The sequence below is a fragment of the Homo sapiens genome, chromosome 7, assembly GCF_000001405.40.
Source record: "Homo sapiens chromosome 7, GRCh38.p14 Primary Assembly".
Taxonomy (NCBI): Eukaryota; Metazoa; Chordata; class Mammalia; order Primates; family Hominidae; genus Homo; species Homo sapiens.
The window spans coordinates 78,070,214-78,092,128 of NC_000007.14; the positions used below are offsets into that span (position 1 = coordinate 78,070,214).

At 41.5% G+C, this 21,915-nt stretch overlaps 1 protein-coding gene across 15 annotated transcripts in view, besides 1 other annotated feature; it reads right to left on the minus strand.

The window, feature by feature from the left end:
• The window catches only part of MAGI2 (membrane associated guanylate kinase, WW and PDZ domain containing 2), a 1,436,613-nt gene that overhangs the window by 53,159 nt on the left and 1,361,539 nt on the right, over nt 1-21,915 (minus strand). For all 15 annotated transcript variants that reach the window (XM_047421093.1, XM_017012845.3, NM_001301128.2 and 12 more), the window contains one exon: nt 8,734-8,872. In XM_047421093.1, the coding sequence (XP_047277049.1) occupies nt 8,734-8,872 (139 nt within the window). The remainder of the gene's footprint in view (nt 1-8,733; nt 8,873-21,915) is intronic.
• Nucleotides 4,071-4,690: an enhancer, noted in NCBI's record as "OCT4-NANOG-H3K27ac hESC enhancer chr7:77703601-77704220 (GRCh37/hg19 assembly coordinates)". NCBI's record gives its function as "activates a minimal SCP1, AML or CMV promoter by ChIP-STARR-seq in primed H9 embryonic stem cells {active_cell/tissue: H9 hESC(primed)}" and the evidence as "EXISTENCE:reporter gene assay evidence [ECO:0000049][PMID:30033119]".

The window sequence follows — 21,915 nt, forward strand, 5'->3', positions numbered from 1 at the left end:
TATATACACACACACACACAGACATTCTGTCCCCTTCCCTAGGTGCTTTATCATTTTCTATTACGCAGTGGAAGGTGTTCTTGAGTGATTTGTGGAACCTCTCATGGAAAAGGAAGATATGCTCAACCATGAATGTCAGAAGCTGAAATTAAATTTCAGAATTTATTATTGCAGCAAGCCACCTTTTGCCCTATGTGTGTGTGTATATATATATGTGTATATATATATGTGTATATATATGTGTGTGTATATATGTGTGTATATATATGTGTGTGTATATATGTGTGTGTATATATATGTGTGTATATATGTATATATGTGTACATATGTATATATGTGTATATATGTATATATATGTGTGTATATATGTGTATATATATGTGTATATATGTGTATATATATATGTGTGTGTGTGTGTATATATATATATATTTTTTTTTTTTTTTTAGACGGAGTCTCACTCTGTCACCCAGGCTGGAGTGCAATGGCATGATCTTGGCTCACTGAAACCTCTGCCTCCCGGGTTCAAACTAATTCTCCTGCCTCAGCCTCCCGAGTAGCTAGGATTACAGGCACATGCCACCACACCCGGCTGATTTCAGGCATGTGCCACCACACCTGGCTGATTTTTGTATTTTTAGTAGAGATGGGGTTTCACCATGTTGGCCAGGCTGGTTTAGAATTCCTGACCTCAGGTGATCCACTCACCTCGGCCTCCCAAAGTGCTAGGATTACAGGAATGAGCCACTGTACCCGGTCTGGTCTAATATATTTTTATCAGAGTCTTAAATACCTAACAAGTTAGGACTTGCAGGTTGTGGGCAGGGCACAAAATATCCTTAAAAAGAAAAATGCTTGTTGCAAATCATGTAAGAATATGTAAAAAAGAAGAAATATCATTATAGTCCGTGATTTTCAATAAAACAATAGGAAGAAATGTGATTTCATCCTCATCCTAAAATCACTTACGATAACAAATGAGGTTTTGGCTGAGCATCAGGGAAAAGGAATTCAGTGTTGTGTTCTTTAAGAAAGCCCCTGGCTGGGCCTGGTGGCTCATGCCTGTAATCCCAGCACTTTGGGAGGCTAAGGAGGGCAGATCACCTGAGGTCAGGAGTTTGAGACCAGCCTAGCCAACATGGTGAAACCCGGTCTCTACTAAAAATACAAAAAATTAGTTGGGCATGGTGGTGCATACCTGTAGTCCCAGCTACTCAGGAGGCTGAAGCAGGAGGATCGCTTGAACCTGGGAGGTGGAGTCTGCAGTGAGCTGAGATCACACCGTTGTACTCCAGCCTGGACTACAGAGCCAGACCCTGTCCCCGCTGCCAGAAAAAAAAGAAAGCCCCTGTCTCTGGCTCCATGAAGCAAGAACTTATTTACTGCAGTTTTTATGGTTAGCGGATTTCCTGGGGTTGCCTACATGCTGCAGAGAGCATCCTGAGCCTTTCAGCTAGGAAGAACCCTGTTCTCTGTATGATGTAACCCAAGGTTCTGCCAGACATTCTGTCCCCTTCCCTAGGTGCTTTATCATTTTCTATTGCGCGGTGGAAGGTGTTCTTGAGTGATTTGTGGAAGCTCTCATGGAAAAGGAAGATACGCTCAACCGTGAATGTCAGAAGCTGAAATTAAATTTCAGAATTTATTATTGCAGCAAGTCACCTTTTGCCCTATTAAAAATGCAGGTGAATTAGTGCCAAGGCTATGGTGCCACTTAAAACTTCCATCAACGTGGTCTCTGAGGAACAGGTTAGGGCAGTGGTGACCGTCCTTTGTCTTTTATTGAGGAGGCACGTCAGCACACCAAGGCAGACCCAGGGTGTGAGGTAACACGTCCGGGCTCCCAGAAGTGGCTGATGGCCACCGGAGGGGAAGAGTGAATTTGATAGATGAAGTTTTGGCTCATTAAATTATAATTTAGAAATAATTCAGACAAGGTCTCAGTAGAGATTTACCCCCACTCAGCAAGTTCTTTCTTCAGAAAAACTACTAATTATTAGTACAAATATTATAAAGGAAATTCTTAACAAACTGAAGAAGCCAAGTGCTCTTCAAGGATTCTTAACACTCTAGAAGTACTTGTTAAATTCTACAAATAATTAATAAAACCCATTTAAATGTTTTTCATGAGAGCAGATCCTTTGAGACCTTTTTATGAGTCACTACTCTGCTAAAAACACATTTCTTCATTATTAGTGTCAGCTCACTGAGGACCAGGACTACATTTTACCTTCAGTGCCTGCAAAGCATCCTGCACATAGTAGGTGTTAAGTAAATCTGATTTAGTTGAGGAAATACTAATTATATCAACTAATAATATTAATCACAGGATTTGTTCCATATAGAGTACTTGGTAGGAATATATTGTCTGGAGTTTATTTTTGTATCATTAGAGGGAAGAAAGGATGTACTCAGCAGATAATAGCAAAAAAGATTATAATGGCATACTTATAACATTTACTTGGCAATATTTTTTCTTTCTTTTGAGTTGGGGTCTTGCTCTGTCGCCCAGGCTGGTGTGCAGTGGCACGATCATGGCTCATTGCATTCTCAACTTCCTGTGCTTAAGTGATCCTCCTGAGTAGCTGGGACCACAGGAGTATGCCACCACGCTTGGCTAATTTTTTTGTAGAGACAAGGTCTCCCTATGTTGCCTCTTCTGTTGAACTCCTAGGCTCAAGCAGTCCTCCTGCCTTGGCCTCCCAAAGTGTTAGGATTAGAGGTGTGAGCCACCCCGCCTGGCTGGCAATATATGTTCTTAAAGAAGAATAAACAAATGACCATTACTTATTGCTATCTACATAGAGGCCAGTACTGCTTCACCTGCTGCTCTAATATAATTGTTGTAAGTCATTTTAACTTACTGATTAAAGGAAGACTTTTAACTAAACAACTGTTTGATCCATTCATTTCTTTACCTATAGTCACTAGCTCAGATCGATCTGTTTCTCCAATTAGTGCAGTTTTATTATACTTACAAAACGTAAACAATTTCATTTACCAAGTGCTTGTAGTCAAGCCAAAACCTATTATATTAAAGAAACGATTAACTTTGAAAATGAAAGCGTAGGCAGAAGTATAATTCACTGATTGGCTGTTTCTCCCCCTTGGTGTGGGTATGTGGCATTAGTTGTCGCTGGGCCATTTTCATTGTGAGATTTCTGCTTCATCCTCTTTAACCCTGCTTGGCCTCCTAAGACCACCGAGACTCCCACTTACAACTGGACTCTCTTCAGTGTTCTATTCATAAAGCCCTGCCCTATGGCTTTTTAAGAGAATAAACAGGCCAGAGCACCAACCCAGACTAAAAAGCATGTTCCTATTATATTTTGCTTTATTCTGATTAACTTTGAACAGCAGTCATTAACAAGGGAAAGGCTCCACTTTGGTCTGAACTGCTTATGTTGGGAATTTTTTCATCCAGCGGCACCTCTATTTACCTTGGCCCTGACTCTGTGGCTCAGTTGATAAATCAAGTGTATGTTCGTGTTGTACTCTTTGAATGCTAATGAAGGAAGCCTGCATTTCAAGGCAGGGAGCTAATCTGTATAATTTATTCCTGTGCAGTTTTACAACCATGATGCATACTTCCTTTTCTCTTAACCTTTGTGGATTTCATTTGAATAGCAATAACCAGGGTGAAGGAGGGCACTGCTTTTGATGCATCTTCTGATTCTCTTCTCAGTATGGCATTGAGATGTGTATCAGGGGAGGGGAACTCACGCTTCCCACTGAGTTTACAATCAACAAATTCTTATCCTGAGGACTGGAGTGGAGTTGAAGTATCTATCTCCTGAGCTTGTCTTTCAAGGACTTAACTATGAAAGCAACTCCTCCTTCAAAGCCCTTATCATTTTCCGACTCCTCTTGCAGCTGCTCCACAACCTCTGTGTGCAGCCACTACTTTCGGGGTGGCATTTGTTGATTTCTACCTCTGAATTGGCTGAGGTGGCACCTGACGTTTAGTCTTTGGGTAATTAGAGATGACATATTTGCGGCATGTTTACTCCTTCCCCCAGCTCACTTGGAGTCATGCTGATTTTGTTTAGTCAATGCTCTGACAGATCGCCTTTGGTATTTTTTCAATTGTACCTAGGCTTATCTCTCGGTCACAGATCACCTTGAGAACTCAGAGTGAGAAATTTTATTTCTCTTGACTGAAATCAGCTTTTTCTTGACATGTCCAGAAGTCCAGATAAGGGTCTTGCTTCAAAGCTGTCCTGAATTTTGAATCATAGGGATATCAAAAGGAGGACTGGTTGAAATCCTTCCACAGGGAGTGGTTAAAAAAAAAATCGGTTTTCCCATGATTAGGGTGCATTAGGAAAAAGTAGGATTATATTCTTGGCTATATCTACTGGTTAAACTCAAGTATTTAATTTTCCTTTTCCATTAGCACTTTCTTTTGTTGTTATTGTTGCTATTATTTTGCTGTTACCCAATTCTGCTACTTAAGAATTTATTAAGATATACTCTAGTTTATCTTAGACAAAAAGAATTCTTTTTTTAAATGAAAGCATAAAGTTGGTGAAAGAAGACAAGAAATTCTGTTTCATGATATAATCTATTTGATGCTGGAGGAATTATGGTGTTCCTAGCAGTGGGCACTCCTTGTATGTAGTGGTCACTTGTATAGTTCATAGATGTGGCCACTTCTCTGGCTTGCTTCTGGCGCAGAAAAGGTTAACAGAGCAGGCCTGAGACTGCTCTCCTTAGAAAGGCCAGCTTTCGAGGTTGGCCATTGGCTGGTGCCTGGTGCCTGGAAATGTGACTGGTAAATCATCCCCTAAGCTAATGTAAACATTTTACTAAATTATAAGTGTGTCTCGCTGTATCTAAACTGTTTGTACAATCAGTGTGGTTTGTGCTGAACCTGCTTTGCTTCTGGGAGTCTGGAAGTGTGGTATGTGCTGGGCAGAGGGTCCCTGCATCACCGGCTCTAGTGAAAACCTTGGGCACTGAGTCTCCAGGGAATTTTCTTGAGCAGCAATGTCACACATACGTTGCTGCATTTTTGTTGCTGGGTGGAAAGAGTGTTCTGGGTGACACCTTGTGTGAGAGAGACAGCATATGGAAGCCTGCATGTGGATTCCTCCAGACCCCGCCTGTGTCTTTTCCCTTGTGAGCCCAATGTGTATTTTCACTATATTGATGTAATAAATCTTTTTTTTTTTTTTTTTTGAGACGGAGTCTCGCTCTGTCACCCAGGCTGGAGTGCAGTGGCACGATCTCTGCTCACTGCAAGCTCTGCCTCCCAGGTTCATGCCATTCTCCTGCCTCAGCCTCCTGAGTAGCTGGGACTACAGGCGCCCACCACCACACCCGGCTAATTTTTTGTATTTTTAGTAGAGACGGGGTTTCACCGTGTTAGCCAGGATGGTCTCGATCTCCTGACCTCGTGATCTGCCCACCTCGGCCTCCCAAAATGCTGGGATTACAGGCGTGAGCCACCACACCTGCTGATGTAATAAATCTTAGCTGTGAGCACAGTTATATTCTGTGCCCCAGGAGGCCTCCTAGAAAATCTCTAAATGTGAAGGTGGTCTTGGGGACTCCTGGGCCCCATCTGCCCACCCATCAGTCACTATGAAATTCCAGAAATATCACTTGATGACATTATCCTCAAAGATGCTATGATCCTTAATCTTGGTTTCTTATGCATAACCAAGCACCTTTCAGCTTAGATTTTGCCAGACAACTAACATTTATTTAGTTTGACTATTGTTTTACTTCCTTAAAGGAGATTGTTCTATGCTATTAAGTTCTTTCTTTTGTGATATCATCTCTAAAGTTTTTACAGTCAAAATCCATCTCAATTTAATATCAAAAGTAGCAGACAAGTGCTAATATTACTAGCAAGTATGATTTAATGTTCCACTTTAGAAGAATATATTTAGAAGAAATTCTGCAATATTGCTACAGTTAACAATGCTGATGATTGGCCACTCAAAAGCGTGCCCAGGCTGGGTGCGGTGGCTCATGCCTGTAATCCCAGCACTTTGGAAGGCTGAGATGGGCGGATTGTTCTGAGCCCAGGAGTTCAAGACCATCCTGGGCGACATGGTGAAACCCCATCTCTACAAAAATACAAACAATTAGCTGGGCATTGGTGGCTTGCACCTGTAGTCCCAGCTACTCAGGAGGCTGAGGCTGAAGAATCGCTTGAGCCTGGTTAGCAGAGGTTGCAGTGAACCAAGATCACACCACTCCACTCCAGTCTGGGCGACAGAGACCTTGTTTCAAAAAAAAAAAAAAAAAAAGGTGTGCCTGGATATTTAAAAAACTCTGGTTAATTTGAGAATTTCACTGTAATCATATCTTTTTAGGTGATGTTAAGAATTAATGAAATAAGGCCGGGCGCGGTGGCTCACGCCTGTAATCCCAGCACTTTGGGAGGCCGAGGCGGGTGGATCATGAGGTCAGGAGATCGAGACCATCCTGGCTAACAAGGTGAAACCCCGTCTCTACTAAAAATACAAAAAATTAGCCGGGCGCGGTGGCGGGCGCCTGTAGTCCCAGCTACTGGGGAGGCTGAGGCAGGAGAATGGCGTGAACCCGGGAAGCGGAGCTTGCAGTGAGCCGAGATTGCGCCACTGCAGTCCGCAGTCCGGCCTGGGCGACAGAGCGAGACTCCGTCTCAAAAAAAAAAAAAAAAAAAAAAAAAAAAGAATTAATGAAATAATGTTGACACGATCTTGAATTTTTGTCTTGTTCAAAAACATGTTTTTATTTCTTCTTCATGATAGCTTGAGGTGGCTTCACATTTGTTCATTACAGTTTGAGTTATGCCACAGGCTGATCAGTAGTATGTTCTACTTGCTCACTACAGACAAGCAGCTGATGTGGTGGATGCTGAGAAAGCGGGGACCAATAGTGATTCTACAGAAAAATGAAAAGCTCAGGATAGTCATGCAGGTTAGATTAACTTTTTAAAGATAAACTTGTTAGAACAACATTAACTCTGTGAAAATGTCTGGGTATAGATAATATTCAGGTCTCACCATGGAGTGAAGCATACCATTAAAGGTGGTATGTTTTAGAAGTGATAGAATTTCACAGGTCACTTTGATATTACTGAATCAGTCAATGCTCTAGAGTGCAAAAGGTTATTCTATTCCAAGAGTTCAGATTCTTTACAAAGGGATTAATGCTGGTACATTTTAGCAGGATCATGCCTGTGCTTATTGATAATATATATATATATATTTAAAAATATTTTATTAGATCCAAGCATTAAGGGTAGGAATCTGGAATGAAATGTTTCCTTGGGCCTAGAGCCAGCCCTGCAGAAACTTCTGAATGCTTTTTGACTCACTGTGAAGGCTTGCTAGCTCTCTCTGTACGCTTTGAGGGGTGCACAAGATGCTGGAAACAACGCATTTAAGGTCTTTGAGTTTAGATATTTCATTTGAACTCAGGGTATAGATCTGCCCTGCTAAGTAAGGAGATATTAGCTATTTAGACAATGTATGCAAAAAGAATAATCTGAAATGAAAAGTACTCTTTAGAATGTTTTTTTTTTTTTTTTTTTTTGAGACAGAGTTTCGCTCTTGTTGCCCAGACTGGAGTGTAATGGTGTGGTCTCAGCTCACTGCAATCTCCGCCTCCTGGGTTCAAGCGATTCTTCTGCTTCAGCCTCCCGAGTACATGGGATTATAGGCATGTGCCACCATGCCTGGCTAATTTTGTATTTTTAGTAGAGACGGGGTTTCTCCATGTTGGTCAGGCTGGTCTTGAACTCCTGACCTCAGGTGATCCGCCTGCCTAGGCCTCCCAAAGTGCTGGGATTACAGGTGTGAGCCACTGCGCCCACCCTAGAAATCTTTTTTTTTTTTGGGTAGGTGATAGAAGGATGAAAGTGAGTCAATTTATCTTAATCAACTTAGAGCTCATTATTCAGGTCAGCAGTTAGATCTTGTTTTCCTAATCTGAACAGGTATTATCTGCACTAGTCTGATGTGTCTGTATGCCCGTCTGTTTCTGTCTGTCACTCACTGAGATTATCTTTAAAGGCCACCTCAAGTTTTGGTGCTTTTCATGTAATGACCACTCAGCTGTTTTGGATACACTAGAGCTATGCTGTCAGTAGTGTCTATAATGGGCTGCTGGGAAACAACAACTTTAAAGATGTTTGAAGACAAATCCATGAATCAAAACATGCTTTAAAGCCTTCCTCAAAAGCATACAGAAACACAACACAGGAGTGAATTTTCAGAATAATTCCTAAATGTCAAAGAAATGCAACCATTGCGTGAACTGAAGTTTACATTTTAAACTTCACACCCTGAAGATATGTTGCTTGTCTCTGGCCCCAGTTACAAATCCTTTGAGATAGTCTGATGCATAAACAATGTTAGGAAATAATTGATAAATTACTGTGTACTCAAATGAACAGTGGACTATCAGTCAAATTGTAACAGTTCTAATATTTAAGTGGTGCTAGATCTCCTCGCACACTCACAGATGCCCTGAAAGGTCCTACATTTCATATTTTAAACATTCCTTAATGGAGGGAGCAAAAGAAAGAGTTCACACACATTTATTTCCTGGGCATAAACATACGTGTGTGTGTGTATGTGTGTGTGTGTGTGTGTGTGTGTATATATATACCTATTGATAGCTAAATATATATTTAGGTAGAAGTGGAGAACTGATGTAGTTTTATAAATAACCATAAGCATTTATGGTTCACAGAAGGAAGAGCAAAAGGGTGAATTAAAACGTGAAACGTACCATATTCTGGGACCTGTCCCGTGCCTCTCTTGAGCAGCAGCCTCACTCGTCTTCCTCCAGATTTGATGAGTTCTATTGCTCTGGCATGTGTCATGTCCCTTGTGCTTTCCCCATTGATTTCAATGATTTGATCTCCTACCTGTTGATTAAAGAAAAATTAAGTCAGCCAAAGATGGTTTTACTCAAGTTGCATTGTCAACAGATTAAAAAAAAAGCATGTCTAGATGACCTGAGAGCATCCGAACAATTTGGTGGCAGCCTGCTGCTTTTTGGAAGAGGCTATTCCCTGGCTGCATCCTGAATCTGATCACCAAATTTTATTTACCTTTACAGAAATGAAAATATCAGACCACAAAGACTGCAGCCATATGTTACTTATTATGTTACTTATTACTTATTATGACAGAGACTGTAAACTAGTTAGCATTGTTTTAAAAATTAGGGAATATATCTGATACAAAAATTCAAAATAACCTGGCATCTTTGCTTTGAATCAAAAAGTAAACATTTTAAGGGCTTTTCATTGATTCTATTGCCAACTGTCAACTTAGTGCAGCATCCAATTCAGCATGTTGGATAAATTTATTGGTTTTTGTGCTTCTCTGAGAATTTTTTGTATGTATCATTTAAATTTCCCTGGGTGCTGTTGTGATATTGCCTTCTTTGTAAACAGTGGTTGGTTGGTATTCACATTTGATGATGAGTTTTCTATCACAGCCCCTTGAATTAAAAATGAGATTCTCCATTCTCTCCACATGACTAATGCCCTGGCTAAATCTTTGCCATGCTCACACTTGATTGCCAGAAGCTGTCTGGTTAAATACCAATTCCTCCTAAATTTTCAGAAATGCCTGGGTTCCATAAGCAATTCCCTTTTGGCGTTTGTGAATAGATAGTTGAAATAAAAGAGGTTCAACCATGAGCACATCATGTAACTCCCACAGTACCATTACTGTCAGGAACCCTTGAATTAAAAAATGTCTCATCTCAGTGCAAGTAACATAAGACAAATTAACCAGCAAAAGCACAACGAGTTGCTTTGCAAAAATGCTATTTTAGTTAGGTCCCTTAAAGCAGATCTCAGTCTAAACTCTGTAATGCAAACAGAACTGTAGAAAAACTCTTTATAGCTAATCATTATCAGTGTGGATGCTGCAGGCTGGCTGAGAATAGGAACACAAATTTTCCATCACAATGGCAGGAGAGCCTGAAAACAAGACCCCCAAAGTCGGGGGGAAGAACATGTTTGTTGTAGCAAGGAAATGACATCTCTACCTAAGGATGATTCTCTAAGTGGTAAGGGTTCCACTGTAATGAAGGTAAAGACCTTCCTTTGTATACTCAGCTGCCTTTAGAAGTATGGATTTGGGGCAGTGGATGAGGTTTACCTCACTGGTATGACTTCCACATTCCACAGAAAAACCAAGAAGACGGAACTAACTTAACTGTTTTAGGGCCAGTAGCTTTCTTCAGGTTTCCTTAATTGTCTCCTTTCCTCTGAGGCAACGGGCATAACTTGAATAGTTTGCCAGAGGCCATGTATCTAAGCCAGAGGCAGAAATGGGACCAATTATCCCTCCCCCAGTAGCCCTCTCCCACAACAGAAACCTCATGGCACAGAATTAAACTGAAAAAGTAAAATAGCAGTTCCAATGAAGTTACATATAGAAAAAGTGTTCCTTCCTGGCTAGACTCTCTTCTGAGCTTCAGACTCACACGTCCAGCTGATTACTAAACATCGTCACCTCATTGTCTGTCCAACAGCAACTCTAACTCAACAGCAGTAGAAGCAGTAGACAGGGCTAACTACCTTTCTCCCAAAGTGGTTCTTCCTCTTAATTCCCAATCCTGGTTAATGGCAACACCATTCACCCAAGCAGAAACCTGGGGGTCACGCTACACTCCTTGTTTTCTCAACTTCTCTGCATCTGTCCCTGTCCTCATATGTATCCCATCGCTCACAAGCTCAATTCAGGCCTTTACATGGTTATTCCAGTATTCCCCTGTCCCTCTCCCGCCAACCTCTTTTCATTGTCACCAGAGTAATCCTTCTAAGGAAAAGCTTGCCAAATGTGTCATGCTGACTGAAGCATTCAGGCCTGTACACATACTGCTGTTCTTTTTTCTCCTCCTCCCCACAGGCCTGGTGATTTCTTGTTCTTTCTGAAGGTAATAAGAATCTTCTCCTATGGGTGCCTTCCTCGACTCTATGCTCTTCACAAGCAGAGATGTCCACTCTCTCTGTTCAGTAGTAATGGCACCCCACTCTGATTATTATGCCTCATTACAGATTCATGAGTCTCTGTCTTCCCTCCTAGGTTTTGAGTGTCTTCATTCAGTAAATAATTTCTGAGCACCTGTTATGTACCAGACAGTCAACTGGGGATATAGAGAGAAATGGTATCATTTCTATGTACAGTAAGTTCTCAGTCTAGTTGGGAAGAAAATGGGTAAATAAGGCTATTACTACTCAATGTATCTTTGCTATGACAGAGGCATTCACAAAGTACTAAGGGCACAGAAAGAACAGACATCTAACCCAGAAAGTGGGGGTGGTGGGTAGTCAGGGAGAGCTGCCAGGAGGTGGTGACATATCGGTTGAGTTTTGAAGTGCCAGTAGGAGTTCCCTAGGCAAAGAGGAAAGCATTCTAGGCAGAGAGAGTAGCATATGTAAAGGCTGCAAAGTTTGAGGGAATGGTATATTTGGGAAACTGTCAGTAGTTTATTATACTGTTCAGGAGTTTAGGTTTTATTTTAAAGGCAATGGCAAGGCACTAAAAAGTTAAGCATGGGGTAACCTGACCGGGGAAGCTGAGTGGTGGTTAGAAATCTCCCTGTGACCTCACTATGGAAAGTGGAAGAAGAGAAAGCTGGAAGACTGAGGAAGGGAGTTGAGTTGCGGTGTTGTCACATGGTCTATCCAAGTGAGACATTAGGAGGCTGTGGGGAAGGAGATGATGAGGACAATGACACAGAGTCTGGGTCTCTTTTAACTGTGTGTCTGGATGAGGTGCACTGAATATATTGGTGAATGAGTGAAGTACTTCCACATGGGTTATCTTGAACCCATGGGAGAGGGAGGTATAAACCCCCTCGAACCCCAAATCGAATCTTGACAGCCACTGCCGCCTTGTGGTTACTTGTGTCCTGAGACTGACATTTTAACCAAAAACCATGTGGAGGGCAAAAGGGATCTTGTATTGTGATAGAAATAGTCCCGTCTTTTGACTCTGGTCCCATACTTGAGTTTAGCAAGACTTAGAAAATTTGAAGTTTTCATTCACTTGTGTGTTTATTTTCCCTTTTCCCTACAAGGAACTTATGAGACTTAAAGGAGAAGGCATTAGCCTGGAGGAGAGAAGCGGTGGTTTGAAAGCTACGGGGGAGGAGGAGAAGCAGAGGGGTTTAGGGGCTGCGTAAGGGCTGAGCTGAAGTCCCCTCTGTGGGGGCCTCAGGAATGAGGCTCCGGGAAGTCAGGGACATTATTTTTATCGGGTTCCCAGGAGCCTGGGCTGACCTCTTCACCTGGCAGATTTCCATAATTTCGGCTTTCCATGTAGGGTCCCCTCAGAGGGAGAGGCTCTGATACATGCTGAATCTCTCCTATGCCCTTTCCCCATTCCAGGGTATCAGTGCCATTGGGTGGTGAGGGTTGTGTCTACTGATTTTCTGCCTCATTTTGGAGCAACGGAAGTTTGGGAATAGTTCAAGATCTTACTAAATCGAGGAAAAAACATTTCTAGGGGCTGGTGGTGGTTAGGTAATGGAACGAAAATGCTGCTGCTGACATAGACTCTGACCGTTGCAAAGCACTCTGGGCATTATTTTAAAAGTGGGCTGACTCACGGGGACCTGGTTTCAATGGCAACAGACTCAGTCCAGACCTGGCTTCAAGACTTCCATCTCTCTTTGGAACAGTATGAACTGTGAAAGGGTTGAATTTTCATTTTCATTCCAATATCAGTATTCTGTATAATAATTTTAACTGGAACTCCCTAAATAAATTTGGGATGTGATCTCTTTCACTGTCATCTGGATATATAAGAAGATCGACTTATCGGGGGACAGCAGGAGGTGGGGCAAGGGGTTCTCTTGTTACTTTCCTACTTTCCGACCTCATCTGACTTCAGTGCAGTGGCCAGTGTGTGACAAAAGAGTGTCACTTTCCGCTATCACAATCGGGAGAATTAATTTTTTAAAACCAATAGAAAATTCGCAGCCCTTTTAGAAATGAAGAAAAAGACCAACTGTGACTCTGATGTAGTCTCTTTCTATACTCTCTCTGCCACAGAGCTATCTTCAACTGAGCTATGTTACTAAAATGAAACTTCTAAGATCTCCACTCATTCTTAGAGTATTTTTAAAATATCGAGTTCCAGTTGAGAGGGAGAGGGAGAGGGAGAAGGAGATGGTGGGGGGGCGGGGGAGGGAGGGAGGGGGGGAGAGAGAGAGAGAGAGAGAGAGAGAGAGAGAGAGAGAGAGAGACAGAGAGAGAGACAGAGATACTAAAACCAGATAAAGGTAATTCAGGAGTCTCTGTGTGCACTGCATTATGTGGGTCAAGGAAATGCCAAATTTAGGAAACTGATCAAAGGACTTAAGAGGAATTCTAAGCACTCATTTTTTTCCTATGGAAGAAATACTTTTATCTGTGGTCCCCTTGGGGCAACTAACAACCTTAGAGTAATGTCACAGGGACAAGGCGGAGCGGGATAACTGCTGTGTCTAGGTCCCCGCCTAGTAAGTTCTGCATTCCTACTCACACATTTCTGCTCATACATCATAGCGGATTTTTCTTTAACAAAACACCAAATCTTTGAACTTGCTTGGGGCTTTCCAGGTAAAAAACTTTTTCTTTTTTTGCCTATGGAAGGCCAAGGCAGGAGAAGGCAAACATCTCATAATTCCTTATGTTGTTAATAGTTCAGGTTGGAAGAAAAAATTTAAACTCTGTACTGTATGCATTTTTGTAGCCAAGTCATATATAAAGTATTTGGCTTGTCTCAATGAAATATTTATAAGAATTAGATTAAATCCTGGATTTACTTTAGCCATGAGTCATGGCAGTCCCAGCTCAAAGGGTTGCTTGGACATCGTTACAAACGTGCTTACCTGGTTGTAATCAGTTAATTGCCCTCATGTTACCATTGCATCCTAAGAGCCTATTTTGCATGATCATATATGACTAAAGTGATCCCAGATTATAACTAGGTATGAGGAATTGAGCTTCTTTGGAATACTATACCAATAAATCATGAATAATCTCTATTCCTTATTTCATGATGGACTTAGCTATGGACGATTTTTGTGGCTAATGATCTGAGGTCACAGGCTAATGCCATCATCGTTCCTCCCTTATAGGCTGGTTTCTCCCACTGACACTAGACCCCTCATGGACAGGGAACACACCTATTGTCTCTGTGTCATCTATACCTGCCACAGTTCCTGAGAAGTAGGCCCTCGGTTAATCACAGTTGAGTCAATGAATGTTTGGTTTGCCTTTCAGCGATAGTAAACGTCTTCATTTGCATGCCGTGTAAGTTAAGCTTTAGGGCACCTCAGCATACCTCAAGCTTTCTTGAAATACTGCCTTACGCAGTTCCATCCAAATCATGACAATTTCAATGGTACTTACAGGAGACCAAATGAGGCTTCAGTACTGGTGACCTACATACATTGGTAGTGACAGGTAAAGTTATAGGAAACAAATGCTAGGATTGAGAGTAAGAGGAATGGAGGCTGAGTCTGAATGAAATAATGAAGTTCCAGGAAAAGGAAAAGTCAGAATTAGGGTCTTTGCTGCTGCAGTCATTGTTATGGGTGCTCTGACGCTGGGATGCCTGTGCCCTAATGGCCCTGATGGAACAAAGGACAGGCTGATTTCCAACTTGATGGTGATCTTTAATATCTACTGGCTGTTTTCATGATTAACTTTGTTCAATATTATTTAATAACCATTACAGGAAGAATATTTTTCAAGGGGTTACACTGAATGTTTTCATTAACCTTCCCATTTCTTTCATTAGATCGCGATTGAATTAGATGGGTTCCAAGTGCCTATTACAGGGCCTGGCTTTTGTTATAAACTGTTAGGCTCAGTTGCCTCAGCAAGGCACAGGAGCCCATAAAATTAGCAGGTTTTTCCAGAGAGAAAACTTCTAATCCAATTGGAAACTGAAACACATGTTTGAGAGCACCAGAACTGTGAATTTTATTTGCTTCAATTCATTTATGTATTGAAAACTGTCTGAGACTCTCTTTATGCTATGTTTTAGACAGTAATCACTTAAACAGAAAACAGGCTGGGCATGTTGGCTCATGCCTATAATCTCAGTTCTTTGGAAGGCTGAAGTGGGAGGACTGCTTGAGTCCAGGAATTCAAGACTAGCCTGAAACACATGGCAAAACCCGCATCTCTACAAAAAATAAAAAACATTTGCCAGGTGTGGTGGTGCATGCCTAGCTACTCAGGAGGCTGAGGTGGGAGGATCACTTGAGCCCAGGAGTTCGAGGCTGCAGTGAGCCATGATTGCACCTCTGTATTCCAGCCTGGGGAACAAGTGTGAGGACTTATCTCTAAAACAAAACAAAATAATAAAACTCCCACACACACACACACACACACACACACACACAAACAAAACAAAATCAAACCCAAAAAAGTCCCAGCATCTCTTGAGAAACTTCATCCAAGCAGAAGTGTGAAATGACCCTTATGGATGCACAGAAGAGAGAAGAATCCTTCATCAAGGTTCTGCCTAAGCACATAACCTGCTTAGGAGGGTCACAAAGGTGAGGGGAAAAAGCTGCTATTGGAAGTGAAAGGCTGCTGCAGGATTCTGAGAATTCACCACTTGATGCAGGTGGTACGCCTTCTTTGGTGTTGTTATTATTTGTGTTTAGAAAAGATGTAGTCACAGCTCAGAAAATATCCGGCCTTTGACTTGAGCACAGTATCCTATGGTGGGAGTGTGGCCTTGTCTGGACATTCATAACGGGGAGCTGGCTTTAGCAAAGATTTAGGGGGAGCTCTCCCTTCCGGAGCCTCCATTTCTATTTACAAAAATCCTCTAAATTAAAATGTGAAAATATAAGTAAAATTGGAAGATGACACAGTATCCCTACTGTGGAAGTAGTTGAGCTCTAAATTATGATCTGGTATCTTCTTCACTGATTCCTTCCTTTTTCCTTGTCAACTGTTACTGATATTAATCTCATACAGAGAATTTTATTAGATAGCTTCTTTCTAAATCTCCTTACTCTTCTAGGGCTCTTTTTTTTTTTAATTTTTAATGTTTTTTTTTTTTTTGAGATGGAGTTTCACTCTGTTGCCCAGGCTGGAGTGCAGTGGCACGATCTTGGCCCAGTGCAACCTCCACTTCCTAGGTTTGAGTGATTATCCTGCCTCAGCCTCCCGAGTAGCTGGGATTACAGGCGCACTCCACCACGCTTGGCTAATTTTTTGTATTTTCAGTAGAGAGGGTTTTACCATGTTGGCCAGGCTGGTCTTGAATTCCTGACCTAAGATGATCTACCTGCCTTGGCCTCCCAAAGTGCTGGGATTACAGGTGTAAGGCACCGCACCCGGTCTCTTCTAGGGCTCTTAACTGGGGTTTATGTTTAATTCTTTTAAGTTTTCCCCTCCCCTAGCTCTATGCATGCTCTCTGGGTGATCACTTCCCATTATTATTATTATTTTTTTTTTTGAGATAGGGTCTCACTTTGTCACCCAAGCTGGAGTGTAGTGGCGTGACCTCGGCTCGCTGCAACATTGACCTCCCAGGTTCAAGCAATCCTCCTGCCTCAGCCCCCCAAGTAGCTGGGACCACAGGCGTGCACTACTATGTCTGACTAATTTTTATATTTTTGGTAAAGACGGGGTTTCGCCATGTTGCCCAGGCTGGTCTTGAGTTACTGAGCTCAAGTGATCCACCCATTTTTAGCCTCCCAAAGTGCTACGATTACAGGCGTGAGCTACTGCGTCTGGCCCTTCCTACCTTTCTAAGGTATTTGGCATGTTTCCTTTTTGGTGCCTTTCTCTGTGCTGTTCTTTTTGCTAGAATCTGAGTCCTCCTTCTCCCCACTTCAAAAAGGGAAATCCTACTTATCTTTTAGGAACCAAACTTCAGGGATGATATCATCCAGACAGCCTTTTATGATCCCAGCAGTCTGGGTTGGGTGCCTTTTCTGTGCATTTCTTTAGAAGTATTGACCTTTGCCAATAATATTGTAAGCTCTCCAAGGACAGGAACTCTGTCACATGGGAAATAACCACATATATCTGTTCAACAGATGGATGAATGTTTGAAAAAAGGCATTTTTCAGAAATTATCTTTTTGGCTGTATGCTCCTTAGAGTTTAAACCAAATGTAAACAAGGTTTATAATAAAATTCTAATTTGGTTTCATAATATATGTCAACCAGGTTTGATCATGATCAAATAATATATGGGAAGTGCATTGTAATCTCTAAATATACAAATGTAATCTATTATTAATCATAGTAGTTACAATTAACAATAGATCATTATAATTATCATAATAACGGTAGAAGAGATAAAAAAAGTAATAAATTTTTCATAATGAACCTGGGAGAGAAGCGGTTGAGCTTCTGAGGGTGTATTAAATGGGGAAATGGGGCAAATGATATTTTTCTGGAAATATCATTGAGAGGTTAAAAATGAAAACAAAACAAAACAAAAACAACTCTTCTTTTTGATAAGCACTGCCTGATAGAAATTCTTTTAGGACATGAATGGTATTTTGTATTCCATGATTTTAGATGAAGTTCTTAGGAAAAGAATCTCATGAATGTTGGGCAGATAATCCAAACCCTAAACTAATACAGAGAAATAACTGCAAGTGTGGCAACAGACATGAATGTGAAGAAAGAGATTTTAAAGACAAGCTGGTTGGAGCAAAACATTTTCTACAAAGGAAAAATAACTACCATCATTACATTTTTCATATGCTAGTTTGACTGCTCAGGTGAAAAGAAACTGGGGCAATATCTTAAAATTATCGGCCTAAGAATAGAAAGCTATCACTGGCAGCTCAGCTAGCTTATCCAGTTCTCAGAAATCACTTATATTAGGTCATGAAGTCAGTTTCCCTAGTTGACTGAAAAATAAACAAAAAGGAAATCAAAGAGGAAACTTTCTATTGTGAACTCTGTATGAGTGTTATTTCTCTTCCTTGGATGTAATTGAGAGAAAATGCGGGATTATTATTATGTATACTTATCTAATCAGATACATTTATTTTCTGGATAAGCATTCGGCTTTGTGCAATGACTTCTATACTGACTCATGGTAACAATTCCTTGTTTTCCTGAAGCTAACTGTCTTGCATATTGCATTTACATTTCAACTTTTTAGCACCTTCTCTCCTCTCTGACCTCTGCTTCTGTCTTTACATCTCTCTCTCAGACTGTGTGTGCACCAGTCCTAGACCTGACAAGTTAACAGCATGAATGAGCATGAAAAGGTACACCAAGATGGGTGGCGGGGACATTGGTTAGCTGGGATTTTGAAGATAATTTAATGATGGGACTGTTTTCGAAGAATGGGCAGGGTTAATGCAATCAAAGAGGGCTGTTGAGGCAATGAAGGATAAATATGGTGAGTGCTGTTACCACCTCTAGTCTGAAAGACATCAGGGAGGAAAAGAAGTTACAGGGGCTGAGTGAGAGCTGGCGCCATGAAAGAGAGGCTGCCTGTCTACAGCTGGAGCTGTAGCGGGAAGGAATGCTGCCAGGCCCACAGCACCAAGGCAGGAGCAAAGGGTAAGAAATACCCCAACCTCTCTGTGGCAGACAGAATAAAGTCCCCCATCCCCAGATGTCCACCTCCTAGTCCCTGGAAGCTGTGTTATGTTCCCTTACATGGCAAAAAGGATTTTGCAGATGTGCTTACCTTAAGGATCTTGAGATGGGACGATTATCCAGGATTGTTTGGGTGGGCCTAATATAATCACAAAGGTCAAAGTCTGAGAGAGAAATGCAAGACAGAAGCAGAGGTCAGAGAGGACAGAAGGTGCTAAGCTGCTGGCTTTGAAGATGGAGGAAGGAAATATAAGCCAAGGAGTTTCTAGAAGCTGGAAAAGGAAACGAAATGGGTTCCTACCCCAGAGTCTCCAAATGGAACCAGCCCTGCTGACATGGTACTTTGATTTTAACCCAGTGAAACAAACCGATTTCAGACTTCTGACTCCAGAACTGTAAGACAATCGATTAGTGTTGTTTGTGGTCATTTATTACAGCAGGAATAGAGAACTAATGTACTTTCTCTCTTTCTGCCCTCTGATCTCCTGCTGATGCTTCTCATTGGCCAAATCCAATAGGAAGCCAGAAGGCAAGAGTGTTTGGGTGATACAGACATAGCCATCATTCCCCCAGAGTAGGGCAGAGAAGCAAGTAGAATAAATCTGGGGGAGAAGGTAGAATAAAGGAAGAACAAGCACTGGGGTGGGGTAGGTGTGGGATGGAATTGATTTTAAAACATCAAATATGCCAAATATGCCAGACGAAGGCTTTAAGCAATAATTCAAGAACAAGACAAAAATCAAATGGCAGTCTAGCTCAAATCCTATTGGAGAAACTTTTTGGAAACCTTTATTTGTTTTAATATTTTACTTTAACATGTGTCGCCTCTATACCATTATAGAAAGAGGAGTGGCGTCAGGGTTACTGAGTTGAATGCTCTTTTTAAAATTGCCTAAGATGTCAGAGTTACCTTTGCCTCTGGTCAGTTTCCAAGTCCCGTCAGTTCTACATGTACCCTGTCTCCAGCAGCTGCCTCTCATTTCCCATTTCTCTTGCTGCCATTCTACATTGGCTGTTCCTCTCTTTCCCCTCTTCTTTCCATCCATATGGTTGCCATAATTATATTTCAAAGAGCATCTCTGATTTTGCCTCACTCCTCCTCAAACACCTCCCCTCCTGCCCCATGCTTCTTGAACAGAATCCAAACTCCTTGACATGAGGTGTAAATCCTTTAGGACCTTGTCCCTGTGACCTTCTGGCTTATCACCACCCTTCTCTTGTGTTTAGTCTGGCCCACTTGTACTTCCTCCACTCTTCCTTCCTCGGCATTTTTGCTGCTGTCCTCAGCCTTCCTTGTTATTTTTGTCATTCTCCCTGGATCCTTCAATCCCATCTCCTAATCATGCCCATTCTTCAAGGCTCTGCTCAAATCCTCCAAGAAGCCATTGCTGGTCACTCCAGGGGAAATTTATCCTCCCTTCTCTGTGTGTCCACTGCTCTTACAGCTATGCCTCTCTTATAGCACTTACAGTCACACTGCCTGTTAGTCTAGGTATCTGTGTATTTATTTTCCCCACTACCATTTCTGAACCTACTCAATTATAAACTCTTGGAAAGAGGGAGTGTATCTTTGTATCTTCTAGTAGTAGCTGGTGCATTGCCTTGAAAATAATAGATGATAAAACCTTGCAGTGGGGACAAATTGATTACTGTGTAGGGCACAAATGATTAATGGCAGAGGGAGAGTCTTTGGGGGAGGTGAGGGTGTATGGGAGACTGGAGGGGGGCTTTGAGGCAGCCTGTGCCTTGCTCACTATGGTTTTCCTACTGTCAACTGAGGTGCCTGGCACAAGATAAGAGCTTCATAAATATTTCTTAAATGAATAAGTAAATGCTATCTACTTCACTTTGGCCAAAGGCAACCTTGAATTCTGAGAGAACAAAGTCTTAACAAAGGTCCCTAATATTTGTTATAATATGAAGAAGGCAAAAAAAATGTATTGAGGTAAAAACAACACAATCTTCTACTTGCAAGGAGAGGCAAGCTTACAAACAGCAAGCCTGTGCCAGCAACCAGCTGAGGAAGACACAGCCACAAGGTGGAAGCATCTCTTTTCTTTCTGAAATAACCATGCCTTTGTTGGCATAACTGGCTGAAAGCAGACAGACTGATTTTTGCATTTACCAGTCCTGTGAGAAGCACTGGGAAATACACTCTTATTTATGATAGTTATTCTATAACTACCTCCCAGTATACAGCTTGAGAGCAGAGATTTGATTGTATATTTCCACAATATCTTTTGTAGCTTTTAACATCGTAGTGACTGATGTGTATGTGTGTGTATGTGTGTGTGTGTGTGTGTGTGTGTGATAAGAGAGTAAGAGTGAATGAATAAGAGACAGAATGATCGATTGAATGATTTGGGGGTAAATTAAGGAAGTGGTTGCTGATAATTATTACTCTGCACCCACTGCTATGGTCTGAATGTGTCCCTCCAAATTCATGTGTTTGAAACAGCCCCCAGTGCAACAGTGTAGGGAGGCAGAGTCTTTGGGAGGTTTTTGGGTCATGAATGGGTGAATGCTGCTATTAAAAGGGCTTGCGGGAGTGGGTTTGTCCTCTCTTGCCCTTCTGCCATCTGCCATGTGAGGACACAAGAACGTTTATACCAGATATTGGTGCCTTGATCTTGGACTTCCCAGAAACCAGAACTGTGAGAAATAAATTTCTCTACTTTACAAATTACTCAGTCTCAGGTATTCTGTTATGGTAGCACAAACAGACTAAGACACCAATTAAAGCATGCATAGGGGCACTGAGGGCAAGGAGCTCATCTTATTAATCTTTTTATCTCTGGTTTCTCTTATCCTTACTTAAGGTGATGACACTGACCTTTGGGAGGAATAGGAATTTATGAAAGATCTCATAGCTTATAAGTGGAAATAACAAGACCAGTTGCAGGTTCCCTAATTCCAACACCCAGAGCTCCTTACCCTTTATGAAGTTGCTTCAGCATTGCGGAAGTAGGGAGTGGGGAGAAAGGCACAATAGTAGGATTTTACTTGGTTCAGAGATAAAGGTTTCTTCTACATGAAGAAGCAGCTATTTGAGATTTTATGATGTATTGTTAACCTTTGGGACATTGTTTGCAAATACATATTCATGTGTTGCAAATAGCTTTAAAACCCAGGTTCATTTAAGCATGAGTAGGATGAAAAAGAAAGTCTGATTCACGTGTACTGAGGATAGCTGTAAGTGTGAATACATCTAGTTAGTACTTCATGGGTCTGAATTTCCCTGGTCACTATAACTACCTTCTCTTCAAATAAATGTTAGTTTTGTCCTTAGCTTTCAAAACTACATGTGTTAAAGTTTCAGATCAGTGGGATCACCAATGTCCTTGTGCCCAATTTTAACAG